Source organism: Homo sapiens, chromosome 12 (genome assembly GCF_000001405.40).
Source record: "Homo sapiens chromosome 12, GRCh38.p14 Primary Assembly".
NCBI classification, from domain to species: domain Eukaryota; kingdom Metazoa; phylum Chordata; class Mammalia; order Primates; family Hominidae; genus Homo; species Homo sapiens.
The window spans coordinates 34,210,344-34,228,831 of record NC_000012.12 but is presented as its reverse complement, the minus strand read 5'-3'; the positions used below and the strand labels follow the sequence as shown (position 1 = coordinate 34,228,831).

The 18,488-nt window shown below is 46.6% G+C and overlaps 1 long non-coding RNA gene across 1 annotated transcript in view, besides 4 other annotated features; it reads left to right on the top strand.

Moving 5' to 3' along the window:
- Positions 9,444–9,944: an enhancer, noted in NCBI's record as "H3K4me1 hESC enhancer chr12:34371823-34372323 (GRCh37/hg19 assembly coordinates)". NCBI's record gives its function as "activates a minimal SCP1, AML or CMV promoter by ChIP-STARR-seq in primed H9 embryonic stem cells {active_cell/tissue: H9 hESC(primed)}" and the evidence as "EXISTENCE:reporter gene assay evidence [ECO:0000049][PMID:30033119]".
- LINC02963 (long intergenic non-protein coding RNA 2963) overlaps positions 9,621–18,488 on the top strand; it is a 28,175-nt gene continuing 19,307 nt past the window's right edge. Inside the window, exons 1-3 of the long non-coding RNA NR_185896.1 lie at positions 9,621–9,706; positions 9,987–10,051; positions 16,811–16,958. This is a non-coding gene — a long non-coding RNA (long intergenic non-protein coding RNA 2963). The remainder of the gene's footprint in view (positions 9,707–9,986; positions 10,052–16,810; positions 16,959–18,488) is intronic.
- Positions 9,945–10,445: an enhancer, noted in NCBI's record as "H3K4me1 hESC enhancer chr12:34371322-34371822 (GRCh37/hg19 assembly coordinates)". NCBI's record gives its function as "activates a minimal SCP1, AML or CMV promoter by ChIP-STARR-seq in primed H9 embryonic stem cells {active_cell/tissue: H9 hESC(primed)}" and the evidence as "EXISTENCE:reporter gene assay evidence [ECO:0000049][PMID:30033119]".
- Positions 10,018–10,167: an enhancer, noted in NCBI's record as "active region_6194". NCBI's record gives its function as "activates an Ori minimal core promoter by ATAC-STARR-seq in GM12878 lymphoblastoid cells {active_cell/tissue: GM12878}" and the evidence as "EXISTENCE:reporter gene assay evidence [ECO:0000049][PMID:35858748]".
- Positions 12,907–13,076: an enhancer, noted in NCBI's record as "experimental_28337 CRE fragment used in MPRA reporter constructs". NCBI's record gives its function as "activates a minimal promoter by MPRAs in K562 erythroleukemia cells, with activity observed for both the introgressed and non-introgressed 12:34368776 variant alleles {active_cell/tissue: K562}" and the evidence as "EXISTENCE:reporter gene assay evidence [ECO:0000049][PMID:34662402]".

The window sequence follows — 18,488 nt, the reverse complement described above, 5'->3', positions numbered from 1 at the left end:
CATCTGGGTTAGAGGTTCTGTGTGGTCCTTGAATCAGGGTGTAAGAAATGGACAGGACCTCAGAGTTCAATGAATATAATCCTCATCAAGTCAGATTTTACAGACTCAGTCAATGAGGCCCAGACAGTTTTCATGGCTGACTCATAGCATAGCTCTTGGAGACCTATATCTTGGTTTTCTGAATCCCAGTTCTCACACAGTGTTGTGTTAATATACTGTGTTTAAAAGAAATGTAAAGAAGGAGAGAGGAACTGTGGAGAGATGCCGAGACCAGCTCAGTCAGGGAGACCCTAACCCAGCGGCGCTAGAGGAATTAAAGAAACACACACAGAAATATAGAGGTCTGAAGTGGGAAATCAGGGGTCTCACAGCCTTCAGAGCTGAGATCCCTGAACAGAGATTTACCCACATATTAATTAACAGCAAACCAGTCATTAGCACTGTTCCTATAGATATTAAATTAACTAAAAGTATCCCTTATGGGAAACGAAGGGATGGGCCAAATTAAAGAAATATGTTGGGCTAGTTAACTGAAGCAGGAACATGCCCTTAAGGCATAAATCGCTCATGCTATTGTTTGTGGCTTAAGAATGCCTTCAAGTGGTTTTCCACCCTGGGCAGGCCAGGTGTTCTTTGCCCTCATTCCTGTGAACCCACAACCCTCCAGCTTGGGCGTTAGGACCATTATGAACATGTCACAGTGCTGCAGAGATTTTATGGCCAGTTTTGGGGCCAGTTTATGGCCAGATTTTGGGGGGCTTGCTCCCAACAGAGAGACTGGCTGAGGGCAAAAAAAGCAATAGTTATTCCTAGGATGTATAGGTTGGCTATTACTCAGCTTCTTTTTTGTGTTCAGCATAGATTGGTTTTCTAGCTTCAACCCAAAGAGACCAAGCCTGAAGCTCTCTTCTAGCTCCTTACTTTAGATCTGTGACTAACTCCTGATGGATTGTCTGAGTGAGATCTGTGGAGAGGCAGATAGTGGGGCTTGGGCACATCATGAGTTCTAAATGGCTGATGTCATTACAAAAACCATAAGCAAGAAAGAATCTACTGTTTCCAGGAAGTGGGGCGAAAAGTTTCTAAGGAGAAAGTATGAGTCTTGAAAAAGGAAGGTAAGGGTTATGCAGCAAAGAAGAGGTTATTGGGTGTTCCCTGTAGGCTGGGGGTGGGAGAGGGGTGCACAGCAGAGCGGGGTGTCAGTGAGGCATGCTCAGAGATCATTTTTGTTTTTGTTTTTTGACCAAAGAAATGCTCAATTTTTTTTTAGTTTTAAAATTTTTAAATTTTACTTTTTTGATCAGTGAAATGAGAGATGGTTTTGGGGATGCCTGGGAGCCATCTAAGAGGTTTAGTAATCTGGAAATTATCAAAGTAAGATTTGCATTTCAGATAGATGCTTTTACATGGAATACAGATCTTTAGACTTTTTTTCAGTTAAGTGTTAGAGTGCAGTTGTCCAGATTATGAATCATTCATTCATTCATTGATCCAACTTTATGAAGCTCATAATATAAGCCAGGCACTGATCTAGAGAAGAAAAAATAGTCTAAAGCAGCACAGTGACAATGGAGTGGGAGTTATATAACCAACAGTACATGCTGAGGAGACAGATTTGAGAAATACTTAGGAGTTAAAAATCAGTAGGACCTGATGACTAATGAGGGCAATGGGGAGTGGAATGAAAAGAGTAAGGATATTGACAGATACTTGAAACAAATATGTCCAATATTTTAGAATTATATAATAAATTTAAAGGAATTTTCTGTCAGGAGGCCCAGAAAGATTAAAACCCAAATGTTAATACATAAAGATCAAAAAGCCTTCATTTCCAACATCTTTGAACGAAGAGACTACTTTGGACTTTGTTATTTCTCCAAGGCAGAGATACTGACCTGCCCAAGGGAGGTAATTATATCATCTACCAAATTGTAGGTTTAACCAAGAGAGGTTGAAATAAAAAGTACAAAAGTCTTGCTGGGCCTCTCTCAAGGGCCTCATGGTAAGCCATTCCTACCAGAATTCTAATTTTGTCAAAATGGCGTTGCTTTCATGTAATTTTAGAATAAGCTTTTAAAAACTGAGAGCAGCAAGAACAGCAAGTGAACACAGATGGGCTGGGGGCAGAGTGAATTGGGTAAAGTTTACAAGAAAAAAGAAGAGGGGATTTTACTAATGCTACTTTCAAAGGCAAAAGACCTAGTCAAAGCACCTATTTTTGCTTTCTTAATTCCTTATCTACTACTACAAATAAAGAGCAGCAAAATTAAAAGGAGAAAAAAAAGCTATGCATTGTAAATGCCTTTAAAGACACCTTCTTAGTAGTTCACTGTGTTGTATACATCATAATGTCTTGCTGGGCAGGCTGCCCATCTCACCTTCTAATCTCACAGTTCTGTGACATGAAAAGTGAAATGTAATATTTACAATCCTGGGAATGAATTAATCCCTGGCAAAATAGAAGGATTTGATTTTCTCATCTGCTCACATCTAGCTGGCTTAGTACCTAAGCAGGGTACCAGGGATCTGTTTCTACTGTTTCTACAGGGCAGGGAACTAGAATCAGGTCCTGAAGCTAAATGCCTGACATGTCTCAGACAAGCAAAGACTGATAGAATTCATCACCACTAGACCAGCCTTACAAGAAATGCTAAAGGGAGTCCCACATCTGGAAGTGAAATGATAATTACTCTCATGAAAACACAAAAAAGTATAAAACTCACTGGTAGAGCACATACACAAAGGAGAAAGAGAAAAGAATCAAACTTTATCACTATAGAAAACCACCAAATTACAAGGATGAACAATAAGAGGGGAAGAAAGGAACAAAGGATATATTTTTAAAAAATTAACAACATGACAAGTCCTCACCTATCGATAATAATCTTGAATGTAAACTGATTAAATTTCCCCCTTTAAAATATATAGACTGGTTGAATGGATTAAAAAACATGGCCCAACTATAGGTTGCCTACAAGAAACTCACTTGATCTGTAAAGACACACATAGTCTGAAAGAGTGGAAAAAGATATTCCATGCAAACAGAAACCAAAAGCAAGCAGGGTAGCTATACTCGTATCAGATGAAACAGACTTTAAGTCAGAAATGATTAAAAAGAGACAAAGGTGGTTATATAATGATAAAGGTATCAATTCAGCAAGAGTACGTAACAATTCTAAATATCTATGCACCCAACACTGGACCACCGAGATATATAATATAAACCAAATATTATTAGATCTAAAGGGAGACATAGACTCCAATACAATAGCTGGGGAATTCAACACCCCATTCTCAGCACTGAAGAGATTGTCTAGATAGAAAATCAACAACAAAACACGAGATTTATACTGCACTTTAGGCTGGATGCAGTGGCACACACTTGTAGTCCCAGTACCTTGGGAGGCTGAGGCAGGCAGATCCCTTGAGGCCAGGAGTTTGAGACCAGCCTGGCCAACATGGTAAAACCCTGTTTCTACTAAAAATACAAAAATTAGCTGAGTGTGGTGGCAGGCATCTGTAATCCCAGCTACTTGGGAGGCTGAGGCATGAGAATTGCTTAAACCTGGGAGGTGGAGGTTGCAGTGAGTCAAGATCATGCTACTGCACTCCAGCCTGGGCAACAGAGTGAGACTCTATCTCAAAAAAACAAAAAACCAACTGCATTTTAGACTAACAAAGAGACATTTACAGAACATTTCATCCAACAGATGCAGAAAACACCTTCTTTCTTCAGCACAAGAAACATTCTCCAGAATAGACCATATGTTAGGCCACAAAAGAAGTCTCAACAAATTTAAAATAATTGAAATTATATCGAGTATCCTTCCTGACCAAAATGGAATAAAACTAGAAGTGAACAACAAGGTGAACTTTTGAAATTTTACAAATACATGGAAATAAAACAATATGCTCCTGAATAATCAATGAAGAAAATTTTAAATTTTATTTTCTTTCCTTTTCTTTTATTTTATTTCTCTCTTTTTTTTTTCCAAGAAGGATCTTGCCATGTTGCCCAGGCTGGTCTTGAATTCCTGATCTCAGGTGATCCTCCTGCCTCGACCTCCCAAAGTGCTGGGATTACAGACATGAGCCGCTGCACACAGTCTAACGGTTGTTTAATGGATACCAAAGTACAGCTAGATATGGAAAATAAGTTCTAGTGCTCTAAAGCACTATAGGGTGACTGTAATTAACAATAATTTATTGTATATTTTCAAATAGCTAGAACAGCAGATTTTGAACCTCCCAACACAAAGAAATAATAAATGTTTGAGGTGATGGATATACTAATCACCCTTATTTGATCCTTATACATTGTAAACATGTATCAAAATATCAAAATGTACCCTGTAAATATGTATTAGGTATCAATTAAATATGTATTAGGTATCAAGTATTAGGCATCAATTAAAAATAATAACAGCTGAGGCCAGGTACAGTGGCTCATGCTTGTAATCCCAGCACTTTAGGAGGCCAAAGTGGGTGGATCACCTAAAGTCAGAAGTTCGAAACCAGCCTGGCCAACATGGTAAAACCCCGTCTCTACTAAAAATACAAAAATTAGCTGGGCATCGTGGCAGGCATCTGTAATCCCAGCTACTCGGGATGCTAAGGCAGTAGAATTGCTTGAACCTAGGAGGAGGAGGTTGCAGTGAGCTGAGGTTGTGCCATTGCACTCCAGCCTAGGCAACAAGAGCAAAACTCCATCTCAAAATAATAATAACAATAATAATAATAATAACAACAACAGCTGGACACAGTGGCTCATGCCTGTAATTCCAGCACTTTAGGAGACCAAAGTGGGAGGATTGCTTGAGCTCGGGAGTTGAAGAACTGCCTAGGCAACACAATGAGACCCCATCTCAAAAAACAATAATAATAATAATAAATAAGCAAATGTCTGACATAGCAGCCCAAGGATCTGGCACCAGAGTGTTCTCTGTCTCTGGCATCCATTATCTCTATTGCTGTCCTTTCTGGGAAACAGCTTTCAGGAGTTCTATTTCTGGGAAATTACAGGGACAGCCCTGACAATAATAAACATCAAAAACACATGCCAGAGGGCCTCAAATGCCCTGAAAACAGAGGGTGCTCCCATCCTATGGAGCAGCAAATGCTTTATCGGGTTTTTTTTTTTTCTTAAGTAGCTAAGAACAATTGCTCTGAAGACGCAAAGCTAAACTAACTGCTAACATCCAAACACAGCCTGACAGTGTAGCTGCAAACTTTGCTCCTGATCCATGGGTAAAAGGAGCTCTCAGCTTTGCAGAAGCCTTATGTTGGTGCCGCCTGCCATGGGACAGAAAAGAAGCACCTGTGAGCAAGAGCAATGCACTCAGTATACCACTGCTGACTCCTAAGTGCCCAGAATTTCATCTAGAGAAGTAGCTTTAGAAGTTAGGTGATGAATTCTATTCATTTATTAAAATATAAATATAATATATATATATATAAATGTATATGTTATATATATATATATAAATGTATATGTTTTATATATATATATATATATATATATATTTTTTTTTTAGGCAGAGTCTTGCTCTGTTGCCTAGGCTGGAGTGCAGTGGTGTGATCTCGGCTCACGGCAACTTCCGCCTCCTGGGTTCGAGCGATTCTTCTGCCTCAGCTCCTTGAGTAGCTGTGATTACAGTCATCCACCACCACACCCGGCTAACCTTTGTGTTTTTAGTAGAGATGGGATTTCACCATGTTGGCCAGGCTGGTCTTGAACTCTTGACCTCAAGTGATCCACCTGCCTTTGCCTCCCAAAATGTTGGGATTACAGGGGTGAGCCACCGTGTCCAGCCATTTCTTTTCTCAAACAGAAGAGCAAAGATGAGGGAGTCTTCCAGCCTAACAGCACACCAAGGATATTATCTGCCTGCATTAGGAGCCCCCAGGGTACACAGGATGGCAGGAACTTCCAATGGGGTGAATGAGAGTGACTTGGAATTACTTGGTGTGATCTCTTTGGATGCTTCTGATACCTCCGTGCTTCCTGAAGCTTTTCCACTGGGCTTGGGAAAAGGAGAACCCTTTAATATTTAGTAGGGCAGAGAAAGAAGGAGAATGGAGAAGCCACGTAACACATTCTTCGGTGTTTTACTGGCTGAAAGGGCTGCAGATATTTTACATGCCCCTCAAATTGTCAACAGGCCAGGCACGGTGAATGACACCTGTAATCCCAGCACATTGAAAGGCTGAGGTGGATGGATCACTTGAGATCAGGAGTTCGAGATCAGCCTGGGCAGATGGCGAAACCCCATCTCTACTGAAAATACAAAAATTAGCTGTGCTTGGTGGTGCGCACCTGTAGTCCCAGCTAATTGGGAGGCTGAGACAAGAGGATGACTTGAACCTGTGAGGCAGAGGCTGCAGTGAGCCGAGATTGCACCACTGCACTCCAGCCCGGTGATGGAGTGAGACTCTGTCTAAAAAAAACCCCCCAAACCCAAAATTGCCAACAGGAAGAAGGCAGAAGCAAAACAGGTGCTCATGGCTGCCAGAGATTTGTGGGCCCTGCCTGGAGTAGAAGTCTAAATGCTGGCTCTGCATTGAAGACATGAGGGAATTTCTTTGCCTTGCTCTTGCCCCAGCTCCCTTTAACTGCATACCACGGTACCTCTTTCCTTTCTAGGTGATAATGCCCCATCCATAAGCAGGTTACTAACAAAAAACTCCTCTCCAAACACCTACAGGGGGAAGGTCCCCTTTTACTGAGCACCATGGCTACAATTTTAACAGTTACTGCAAAATAAAAGTTGCTACATTCTCATAATGATGGGTTTTCCCATAACCTGAAAAATTATTCACCGAGTGTCTGTAGCCAGGATGAAAAACACCCTTAAAGTTTAGATATGCATCAGTATTTCCCTCAAGAATAGCACAGGTTAAAGCTTTTATAAAGAGAAAAAAAAATAAGGAGTTGAAAAACATATAAATATAAATAAATAGCCACAAAAAGGGGAAGTTAGAGAGAGACTATGAAAACATCTTAGTCTTGAGGAAACATACAATCTGAGAAGCGATTCTGCAGGACTTGGCTGAAAGTCAATGGGAGGCTGATCAAATGAAGTGATAGAAGTCATGTAATTTGTCATATTAAGCATCTGCAACAAACCCACGTAGAATCCAAGGAATGTAGGTGATCTGACAAAAGGCCTCATGTTTAAAATTTGCCCTAAGCTTCCCCAAATCCACCAAAAATTTCCCCGTATGAGCCACCTTTTCAGATACAGTTTAGCTATCTGTTCTTGTGACACTAGGTTCATTTAAAGAGTTCTTGGGAGCCACGTGGGGTGGCTCACGCCCATAATCCCAGCACTTTGGGAGGCCATGCACAGCAGGTGGATCACTTGAGGTCAGGAGTTCAAGACCAGCCTGGCCAACATGGTGAAACCCCGTCTCTACTAAAAATGCAAAAATTAGCAGGGCGTGCTGCCATCAGCCTGTAATTCTAGTTACTCAGGAGGCTGAGGCGGGAGGATTGTTTGACTCTGGGAGGCAGAGGTTGCAGTGAGCTGAGATCACGCCACTGCACTCCAGCAGCCTGGTTGACAGAGCGAGACTGCCAAAAAAAAAAAAAGTTATTGGGGCTGGGTGCAGTGGCTCACGCCTGTAATCCTAGCACTTTGGGAGGCTAAGGTGGAAGGATGGTTTGAGGTGGGGAGTTTGAGACCAGCCTGGGCAACATAGTGAGACATCATCTCTGCCAAAAAAGAAAAAAAATCCATGTTGAGGCATTTTGTGTAAAAATAGAAAAAATTTCCTGGGCGTAGTGGTGTGCACCTGTAATCCTAGCTACTTGGGAGGCTGAGCCTGGAGGGTTGCTTGAGCTCCAGGAGTTTGATGCTGCAGTGAGCTATGATTGTGCCACTGTGTTCCAGCCTGGGCAATAGAAGGAGACCCTGTTTCAAAAAAAAAAAAAAGAAAAAAAGGCTGGACACACTGGCTCACGTCTGTGATCCCAGCACTTTAGGAAGCCAAGGCAGGTGGATCACCTGAGGTCAGGAGTTCGAGAACAGCCTGACCAACATGGTGAAACCCTGTCTCTAGTAAAAATACAAAATTAGCCAGGCATGGTGGCACATGCCTGTAATCCCAGCTACTTGGGAGGCCCAGGCAGGAGAATCACTTGAACCTGGGAGGTGGAGGTTGCAGTGAGCTGAGATTGGGCCATTGCACTCCAGCCTAGGCAACAAGAGCAAAACTCTGTCTCAAAAGAAAAAAATCTCTCTTTTTTTTACTGTTACAATGACAATAATAGAGGCTTTTCTCTCCAGGAGCTCTAAGTGAAATTAATGAGAATTCTCATGACCCTAGAAAGAGAGATTTAAAAAACACATAGCGCAGGTGTGGCGGCTCACACCTGTAATCCCAGCACTTTGGGAGGCTAAGGCGGGTGGATCCCTTGAGGTCAGGAGATCAAGACCAGCCTGGCCAACATGGTGAAACCCCAGTTCTACTAAAAATACAAAAATTAGCTGGGCTTGGTGGCACGCTTGCCTTTAGTCCCAGGTACTCGAGGGGCAGAAGCAGGAGAATCACTTGAACCCGGGAGATGGAGGCTGCCGCAGAGAGCTGATATCAAGCCACTGCACTCCAGCCTGGGCAACAGAGCCCATATAATTATTTGTATCTTTTTTTTTTTTTTTTGAGAGGTACTTTCACTCTTGTTGTCCAGGCTGGAGTGCAATGGCGCGATCTCGGCTGGCTGCAACCTCCGCCTCTCGGATTCAAGCGATTCTCCCACCTCAGCCTCCTGGGTAGCTGGGATTACAGGCACCCGCCATCATGCCTGGCTAATTTTTGTATTTTTGTAGAGACAGGATTTCACCATGTTGGCCAAGCTGATCTTGAACTCCTGATCTCAGGTGATCCTCCCTCCTCAGCCTCCCAAAGTGCTGGGATTACAGGCGTGATCCACCGCGTCTGGAGAGTTCTCTTTTCTTTGCGAAGGGCAAGGCGGACTAGAATGGATTCACCCAACAGCGGTGCGCATGCCCTAAAAGCATTATGGTTAGATCCATGTCAGACAGGTTAGTTTTACTGTTTGCGTTCCCCTTGTGTTGTTGCCCATGTGTTGCTACCATGGTAATCCTGCTCAGTACGAGAGGAACCGCAGGTTCAGACATTTTGTGTATGTGCTTGGCTTTGTTGGCCTTGGATAGGCGGTCCTCTGCCGTCCCCTCCGGCGGGCCGCTCTGCCTCAGGAGGGGCATGTCCCGCCATGCGCCGGGAACCAGGATCCGGTGCAGAGAGCCCCTCATCGTAGGAAATGGGCTGCTGCCAGAAGGGCGGTCACCCCCTGACCCATCACATAACGTGTTTTTGGGGAACCGGATGCTAAACTATTTGTAGACATCCTGCTTCTGGGTCAGGGTTTTCTATGGAGCAGAGCAGCTCCCTCGCTGCGATCTATTGAAAGTCAAACCTCCACACAAGGTTCCCTGCACCCGTGCGCGGGGGACCTGGTGATGTGGCGTGTCCTGTGTAATTCAGCCCTTGACGTCTACCTTCCTTCCTTTCTCCTGTTATACCCGGAACCTAGTTTCCTCGCCCGCTCATGCCCACCGGACCCGGAGCCCCGAAGCACGCAGCAGGTGTCCCTCCCGAGAGACCACTGGTGCCCGCTGTGTCTTCGGGAGGCGCCCGTCCCCATCTGCGGGCTTTCCAAGGTGCTGTGCTGGGGTTTGCCGAGGTAGGGGTGTCGCCCATGCTCGTCGTTCCCTCTCCAATTCCGCCTCCTTCCTGCACCCCGCTTTGACCTCCTTCAGGGGCTGGGATCGGATTTATCGGGCCTGGTGAGAATGGCTGAGGCGTGGGTGTCAGAGGGTGTGCCCCTGTGGTTCCTGTCCGAGTAGTGTTCACGCATGCCCAGTGGTGGCCACTGGGGTCACGGCCCCTCTACCCGCCCCAGGCGCGCGGGAATGGGACAGGAGCCAGTCACTGCCTTTCTGTCTTTCCTCCTCTCTCCGCAGCCCGGGTCAACCAGCCGACGGTGGCGGAACGGCGGGCAGGTCGGCGGAGTTAGATGGCCGCAAAGGTGGGCAGGCTCGGTGTGATAAGGTTCCAACTGGGTCTGATCGCTTCCGTCCGCGAGCGCCGGGTCCACCAAATGTCGGCGGCGAGCGCTGGCTTTGATGGTTAACTTGGGATTTCTAAGGTAGAACAGATCTCTCTGGTCAGCAGCACTACCACCTGCATCCACTAGATGTCGTTCTCTCACTACGTCGTTTCTTCCTCTCCAATTGTTTCCACAGTACTTTCAGTTGTCCTTCATTTTGTTTTTCTTTTTTCTTTTATGTTTCTTATTCCTCTTTTTACACACTGAAGCTGCTGTTGTTTTACCTTTATTTTTCTTTTTTGAGAAAGGTTGGAGTATGAGAATGTAATCTCGGCTCACCGCAGCCTCGACCTTCCTGGGCTCCCTCAGGTGATCTTGCTATCTCAACCTTCCAAGTGGCTGAGACTGCAGGAATTGCTTGATTCTGGGATGTCGAAGCTGCAGTGAGCCATGATCACGCCATTGGCCTCAAGCCTGAGTGACAGAGAAAGACCCTGTTTCAGAAAGTAAGAGAGACAGGTTAAAGAAATAACTCCTTGAAATTATTGCTATTAATTGTGATCTAAATTATCTTTTATATTTTTATATTTTTCACTCCTACTAGTTTATTATTATTGTTGTTGTTAGTATTTCTTTGTATTATTGTTTGTTATTATTGTTATTGTTTTTATTATTTAGTTATTTAGAGATGGAGTCTTGCTCCATCACCCAGACTGCAGTGCAGTGGCACGACCATGGCTGACTGTAGCCTCAAATTCCCGGATTCAAGTTCGAGACCAACCTGGGCAATATGGCAAAACGCCATGTCTACTAAAATCTGTCACTGTATACCCCCAGGGCCGTTGGATATGGCAGGTGCAAGTTCGGAGGCTGAGGCAGGCAGTTCGCTAGAGTTCGGGAGTTCGAGACGAGCCTGGGCAACAGGCTGCAGTACATTTGCCTGACCAAGGCCCACCGCAGCCTCCACCTCCCGAGCCCAAGAGATGCTCCCACCTCAGGCTCCAAAGGAACTGGGGCTACAGGCGCCTGCCATCACACCCAGCTAACTTTTTAATTTTTTTTTTTTTTTTTAAGTAGAGACGTGGTCTCACTGTGTTGCCAGGGCTGGTCTCAAACTGCTGGACTCAAGCGATTCTTCCACCTCAGCCTCCCAAAGTGTTGGGAGTATAGGCATAAGCCATGTTGTGCTGCCTTGTTTTTTATTTCCTTCATCTTTCTTTTTTTCTTTCACTTTCTTTCCTTTTCTTTCTTTTCTTTTTCTTCTCTCTCTTTTTCTTCCTCCCTTTTTTCTCATTTCTCATTCTCTTCTTCTGTTTCTCTGCCTTTCTATTTTCTTTTTCATCTTTCTTCCCTTTACATCTCTGTCTCTCTTGATCTTTTCTGCTCTCTCTCTTTTCTCAATTTGTTTCCTCCCATCCCTCTGTCTGTCCGTCTTTGTGTGGATTCTGGAAGAATCTCCTTATTCTGTATCCCCTGTGTATGTATCACAAGCCTCTAAGACTTTCGCTTTGTTGTTTTTCCTCCTTGTTGCATAAAATGTATTCACTCTTCTTTTATTTCAGTATTCTGTGGACAGTCGAGGGCTGGAAAAAAAACAGAAACATGAATTTGATTGGTTTCACAAGAGACATGGCAGACCAAAGAACATACGATGAGTACTTTGCTAAATGCCCTGTTTATTCTCCCAACCGGGCTCATAAAAGTACGGACACATTTGGTGGGTTGAGAGATCTCTATGTAGTCGTGACCCTGTAATTATACTTGACGAGAGCGGTGATGACAGACAGGCGGCACAGAAATCTGCCCTTCTTTGGTGCCAATTGAGCATGGTGACAACAGATTAAAAATGGCCTATGTCTCAAGTTGAAGGTCCTGTTTTTCTGCTCTGGTCTTTAGGAATGAGTGGAGCCTTCCCGTGCTCTGCCATTTTCTTGCATTTTTCTTTTCACATACATTCATTCACTTATTTATTAATTAATTTATTTTAAATAGAGTCTCGTTCTGTAGCCCAGGCTTTGGGGTGGTATCAGCTGGCTGCAATCTCCGCCGCCCTCGTTCCAGCGATTCTTCTGCCTCAGCCTCCCGAGTAGCTGGGATTACAGGCACATGCCACCCTACTCAGCTAACTTTTGTTTTTTCAGTAAAGACAGTGTTTCACCATGTTGCCCAGGCTGGTCTTGAACTCCTGACCTTCAGGGATCTGCCCCTTCCACCCCCGGCCTCCCAAAGTGCTGGGATAACAGGTGTGAGTCACCGCGCCCAGCCTAAATTGCAATCTTTCAAAATAAATAAGTTTTTAAAAAATAAATAGGACATCACCTAGTGGCCAGTGTTATTGAAAGTCGAGGTGGCACTGAGGGAGGTCTGGCCAACTTCACAGAGCCTGGGGCAACTGCTCTCTCTCCTTCCCTTCTGGAGGCCCCTCCGTCTCTCCCTCACTGCCTAGGGAACTTCCACCCTGGTGGGGCAACTGTTGTTCTTTTACCCCCTGGGTAAATGGTGTCTCGTTCTGTCTCCCAGGCTGTGGCATGGTCTTGGCTGGCTGCAATCTCCGCCTCTCTGGTTCCAGCGATTCTCCTGCCTCAGCCTCCTGAGTAGCTGAAATTACAGGCGCGTGCCACCCTACCCAGCTAACTTTTGTTTTATTAGTAGAGACAGGGCTTCACCATGTTGGCGGCCAGGCTGATCTCAAACCCCTGACTTCGTGATCCACCAGCCTCAGCCTCCCAAAGTGCTGGGATGACAGTGGTGAGCCACCGCGCCAGGCCACCGTCATTGGTTTTAACTGGAGATTCTAGATTTGAGGCACACCTCATTCTATGCCACAGAATGTCTTCTTTATCCTGCCGTCTCAGGAAAGCCGGGCCCCTTGTGATTCATTTCAAACCGAGAGTCACCTCATGTTTGGAAAACAGATCTGCTCCCAAGTTCAGTGGAGGGATGTGGCATGTAGGATGAGGGACTGTTCCTTCTGATTTGGTCTGCATGGTGGGGCCTAGGACTGGAGCTCACTGAGGATCGATGGCTCCCTCTACCTTGGGTTCTATTGTCCCCACTCGAGAACACGGGCCTTGGCAGATCCTGGCCCTTCCTGGCCATTAAGGTGCTGTCAGAAACCCCATCCCGAGCTCGAATGCCCCGAATGACTGTGGCCCACGCCTCTCCAGAAACATTTGAAATCTATCCTCTACGTGTGGCCACCTAAAACCACTGGAGCGCACGACACTCAGCTGCCATCCACCTCACTGCTTTCGGGAGAGAATGCTGAAAATCTCTTGCTAATTCTCTCTTGACTCGAGTTCTTCAAGGGCGTGTGGTCAGGACCTAGTGAGACCAGATGTATTAGGTCAGGCCGGGTGCGATGGCTCATGCCTGCAACCCCAACCCTTAGGGAGGCTGAGGTGGTAGGATCGCTTGAGCCCAGGAGCTCAGACCAGCCTTGGACAACATGGCCAAAACCCGAGTTGCTTGCCTGTGGTCTCAGCTACTCAGGAGGCTGAAGTGGGAGAATCACCTAACCCTGGGGTGGTTGAGGCTGCAGTGAGCTGTGATGGTGTCACTGCACTCCAGCCTGGGTGACAGACAGAGTGAGACACTGTCACAAACAGATGGACAGACAGACAACAGCTATATTATGTCCTTCTCAGGGTAGGAAGCAAAAATAACAGAATACAGCATTTAAGATTTTTTTTTTAATTTTAAATTTCAATCTACTTATTTATTAATTTTGAGTCCAGATTATGAAATCAGCTAATTTTTGTATTTTCGTAGAGACAAAGTTTCACCATGTTGCCAAGCCTGGTCTCAATTGCCTGGGATCGAGGGATCCACCCATCCTCGGGCTCCCAAAGTGCGAGGATGACAGGCATGAGCCACTGCTCCTGACAGTGTTGTTTTTTTCTTCATTTTTTAATCGCTTGTCTTTCCAGGAGTTTCACGGCAGAGTGTTTGGCTGGCTTGTTTAAATTCATTCTGAATAGAAATTGAAGGTGTCAACTTCTGGCCTCATGGACTCTGAGCTGACGAGTCCCCTGGTCTGTCTATCACGGGACTGTATATGTAAGAAGTAAAAAAGTCGTAACGTTTAAAATAAATAATTTTGTTGTACAGAAATAAACAGATGCACTCAAAACACAGAAACGATTTTTTAAAAAGTTATCTTAGTCCTGGTGGGTGTGCCAGTGATTCTTTTAGGTTTGGAGCTTGACTGAGAGAATTTCCAGTCGGTCTCTGGATGGAATTTCCAGATGATCCGATGGGTGAGGACTTAGGCTGTGTCTTCCAGGGACCATGGTCAATTAGTTGTGGGGACCACCTGGGAGGGTGCAGCCACCCACTGTGATTTGGGGGCCACTATCCTTCCCCTTCCCACTCCCCCTCCAGGTGATCCCAATTAATTCCGGGATGACACTCTCATTGGCAGACATCGGGCATCACCTAGCAGCAACTGTTACTCTGAAAACTGAGGCCTCAAGGGGAAGGAAGCTCATGGTGCCTGCGCACAGCCCAGGGCAACTGTGTCTTCTCCACCACGCCCACCACCCGCCCACACCTCCAAGTTCCTCCCTCCCTTGTTGCCTGAGGAATTGCCACCCTGATGACTGGGTCTGGTTGTTCTTTGATCACTTAAACAAAAAATAAATATGCCGGACACGATGGTTTACACCTGTAATCCCAGCACTTTGGGAGGCAGAGGCGGGCGGATCATGAGGTCAGGAGTTCAAGTCCAGCCTGGCCAGTATGGTGAAAACTCATCTCTAATAAAAATACAAAAAATTAGCCAGGCATGGTGGTATGCACCTGTAAGTCCAGCTACTCGGGAGGCTGAGGCAGGAGAATTGCTTGAACCCGGGAGGTGAAAGTTGCAGTGAGCTGAGATCGCGACATTGCACTCCAGCCTGGACAACAGAGTGAGACTCCGTCTCAAAAAAAAAAAAAAAAAAAGGCCAGGTGCCGTGGCTCATGGCTGTAAGCCTGTAATCCTAGCACTTACGGAGGCCAATGCAGGTGAATCACCTGAGGTTGGGAGTTTGAGACCAGCCTGACCAACATGGAGAAACCCTGTCTCTACTAAAAATACCAAGTTAGCTGGGTGTGGTGGCACTTGCCTGTAATCCCAGCTACTCGGGAGACCAAGGAAGGAGAATTATTCGAACTCAGGAGACAGAGGTTGCGGTGAGCCAAGATTGCACCATTGCACTCCAGCCTGGGCAACAAGAGCAAAACTCCGTATCCAAAAAAAAATAAATAAATAATAATAATACAAATAAATGAGTTTCCAGGAAAAAGAGAATCAAAAAACCCACAGTGACATAAACATACGCCTCTGTCCTTTTGAGGCAGTAATGATGCTACGAAGTGATCCACCCATCTCAGCCTCCCAAGGTGCTGAGATTACAGGCGTGAGCCACTGTGCCTGGCTATGTGTCATATCTATGTGTACTTTTTAAATTTTAATTTAATTTTTGTATGTTTTGAGACAGACTGTCACTGTGTCAACCAGGCTGGAGCACAGTGGCGCGCTTACAGCTCACTGCAACCTCCACTTCCCAGGTTCAAGCGATTTTCCTGCCTTAGCCTCCTGAATAGCTGAGACTATTGGCACACGCCACCGCACCTGGCTAATTTTTGTATTTTTAGTAGAGACAGGGTTTCGCCATGGTTGCCAGGCTGGTCTCCAACTCCTGACCTCAAGTGATCCACCCGTCTCAGCCTCCCAAAGTGCTGAGATTACAGGCATGAGCCACTGCGCCCAGCTATATGTAATTTCTTAACTCACCTCATTTCTTGACTGGGGACCATGGGCATTTGGGCCACTTTCTCATGGAACTTACTTGTGCTTCACGATCTGTTAGGACCCAATCAGGTCCACAGCACTTCCATGACATGCTAGAGTGTTGCTGTGCACACCCACTTAACATCCAGTGTGTGATGAGCGGCTCAGCTCACACGGTAACTTCGTGGCCCCACAGTTGGGCATTTGGTTTCTACTAACAGTCAGAGGCTAGCTGAGAGAGCCTATTGCTCCAAAGAAGAATGGTTATCTGCAGATAATGGCAGGGCCTTGCTCTGAAATCCTCAGGGCCTTCACTGTTATTCGGAATAGCCTGTATCTCAAACGGATGGTCCTGTTTTTCTGCTCTAGTCTTTAGGAACGAGTGGAGCCTTCCCAGGCTCCACCACCTTCTTACATTTTTTTTACATTCATTTATTCATTCATTCATGTATTTTTTAGAGAGGGGTTCTCCCTGTGTCACCCAGGCTGGAGTGGAGTGATAGGATCATAGCTCACTGCGACCTTGAATTGCTGGGCTTAAAGCGATCTTCCTCTGCCTCAGCCTCCCGAGTAGCTGGGCATACAGGCACGGGGGTGAACCACAACACAGCACAATACCGGGTTAATTATCTTCCTTCTTTTTTATTGTTTTCTTGTTTCTTTTCTGAGACAAGGTCTCCCTCTGTCACCCGGGCTGGAGTGTAATTGTTCCCGGACCAAACTGAAGGTCGGGCTGCTTATTCTCGCGGCCTGATAACGAGATGCAGATGAACTAAAAAAGGAGGCAGTTTTTATTTCTGTGATCACTTACAGAGAGAAGGCCTAAAAATGTCGCCAGACTGACTCAAAATTACAAAGGTTTATAGAGCTTATATACCTTCTAAAGTGTAAAAGACATCTAAAGATGGAAGCGATTGACTTTTTTTTTTTTTTTTTTTTTTTTTTTTTTTTTTTTGAGACAGTCTTCCTCTGTTGCCCAGGCTGGAGTGCAGTGGTGAGATCTCGGGGAAAAACGTGGCCGGCCGGAGTCCTCCCACAGACGACAGTGCCTTCCCGGCAGCATCTCCGCCGGGCCCAAGAGGGTCGTGGAGTCGCTGGCTTCCTCCCAGGGTGCGTGTCGCGCCCACGCGGGGCACCCCAAAGCGGCAAGAAGGCCTTTGTGAGAAGGGAACAGGATGCCAGGTTTGAAAGAAGACCTTGAGGCGGCATGGGGCAAAACGCGGCCGGCCGGAGTCCTCCCACGGACGACAGTGCCTTCCCGGCAGCGCCTGCGCTGGGCCTGGGAGTGTCGTGCAGTCCCTGGCTTCCTCCCAGGGTGCGTGTCACGCCCACGGGGGGCACCCCAAAGCGTCAAGAAGGCCTCCGGGGGAAGGAAACATGACGCCAGGCTTGAAAGGGGACGTTGAGGCTGCAAGGGGAAAAAGCGGTGGGCCGGGGTACTCCCACGGACCACAGTGCCTTCCCGGCAGCCTCTGCGCCGAGACTGGGGGGGTGAGCAGCACCGGATAAAAGCAGCGAGGCTGGGGTCCTTCCATGGAGGACAGTGCCTTCCAGCAGCCCCTGCGCTGGGCCCGGGGGTGTCGTGGAGTCCCTGGCTTGCACCCAGGGTGCATGTCTAGCCCATGGGGGACACCCCAAAGCGGCAAGAAGTCCCCCAGTGGAAGGGAACAGGACGCCAGACTCCAAAGGGGACGTTGAGGCAATCAGGGGAAAAAATTCCCACGGAGAACAGTGCCTTCCCAGCAGCCTCTGCCCCGGACCCAGGTGGGTCGTGGAGTCCCTGGCTTGCACCCAGGGTGCATGTCTCGCCCACGGGGGAGGACAGGCAGAGATGGAGAGAGGAATGGAGACACGCAGGGACGGAGTGATAGACGTTGTTAGGGTGGTAGGGAGGGACAGAGACAGGAAGTGAGGGACAGACAGGGAGACGGAGGAACACTGAGAGAGAGGGAGGGAGCAAGGGACAGAGGGAGGAAAGCAGAGAGAAAAAGCAGTCTTCTGCCTCCAGGAGCAACAGGACCCCCGGGCTCCTGGAAAATGTTAAGCGCCCAGTGGGAGTTAAGGGCTGGGCCGGCGGGGCACTCACTGGCTCTCCGGATCGCCAGACTGGGTTACTTCATCGCGGAGCGATTCGTATGAATTCCATCGCCCAAGGAATGGGCGATTTCTTCCAAGACCAAAGAGCCAAGACTCAGGTAGCAGCCCGTTTTTCACCCACATGTTTTACAGACTACACATCCCCACACTGAGTACTGCAACGGAGCACGAGGAGGATAGTCCCATCCACACAGGAGTCACTCAGGACGACTGAAGCGTGATTTCGGATTCCACGTTTCTTTGCCCTCTGCAAGGGGGACGGTTGCTCACCTTTCTCCGGCCCCCGAAAGCGTGATCATGTTGTCTGTTTGCTTCCCGAGCTCTGCGAGGACACAAAAACTTCCAGAGAAGCGTGGAAGACCAGCATCGTGTTGGTGCTCTGCTTTCCAGTTTCCAAAACGGCCATATTGGAGACTCCCCATGTTGCAGGAAACAGGAATCCTTCGTGGGGCCGTCATGCTGGGGACGTTTCTTTTCTCTGTGGTTTCGCTCTCGTTTTCTACATGAAAATGAACAAGATCCACATACCTGCATCTGTGAGGG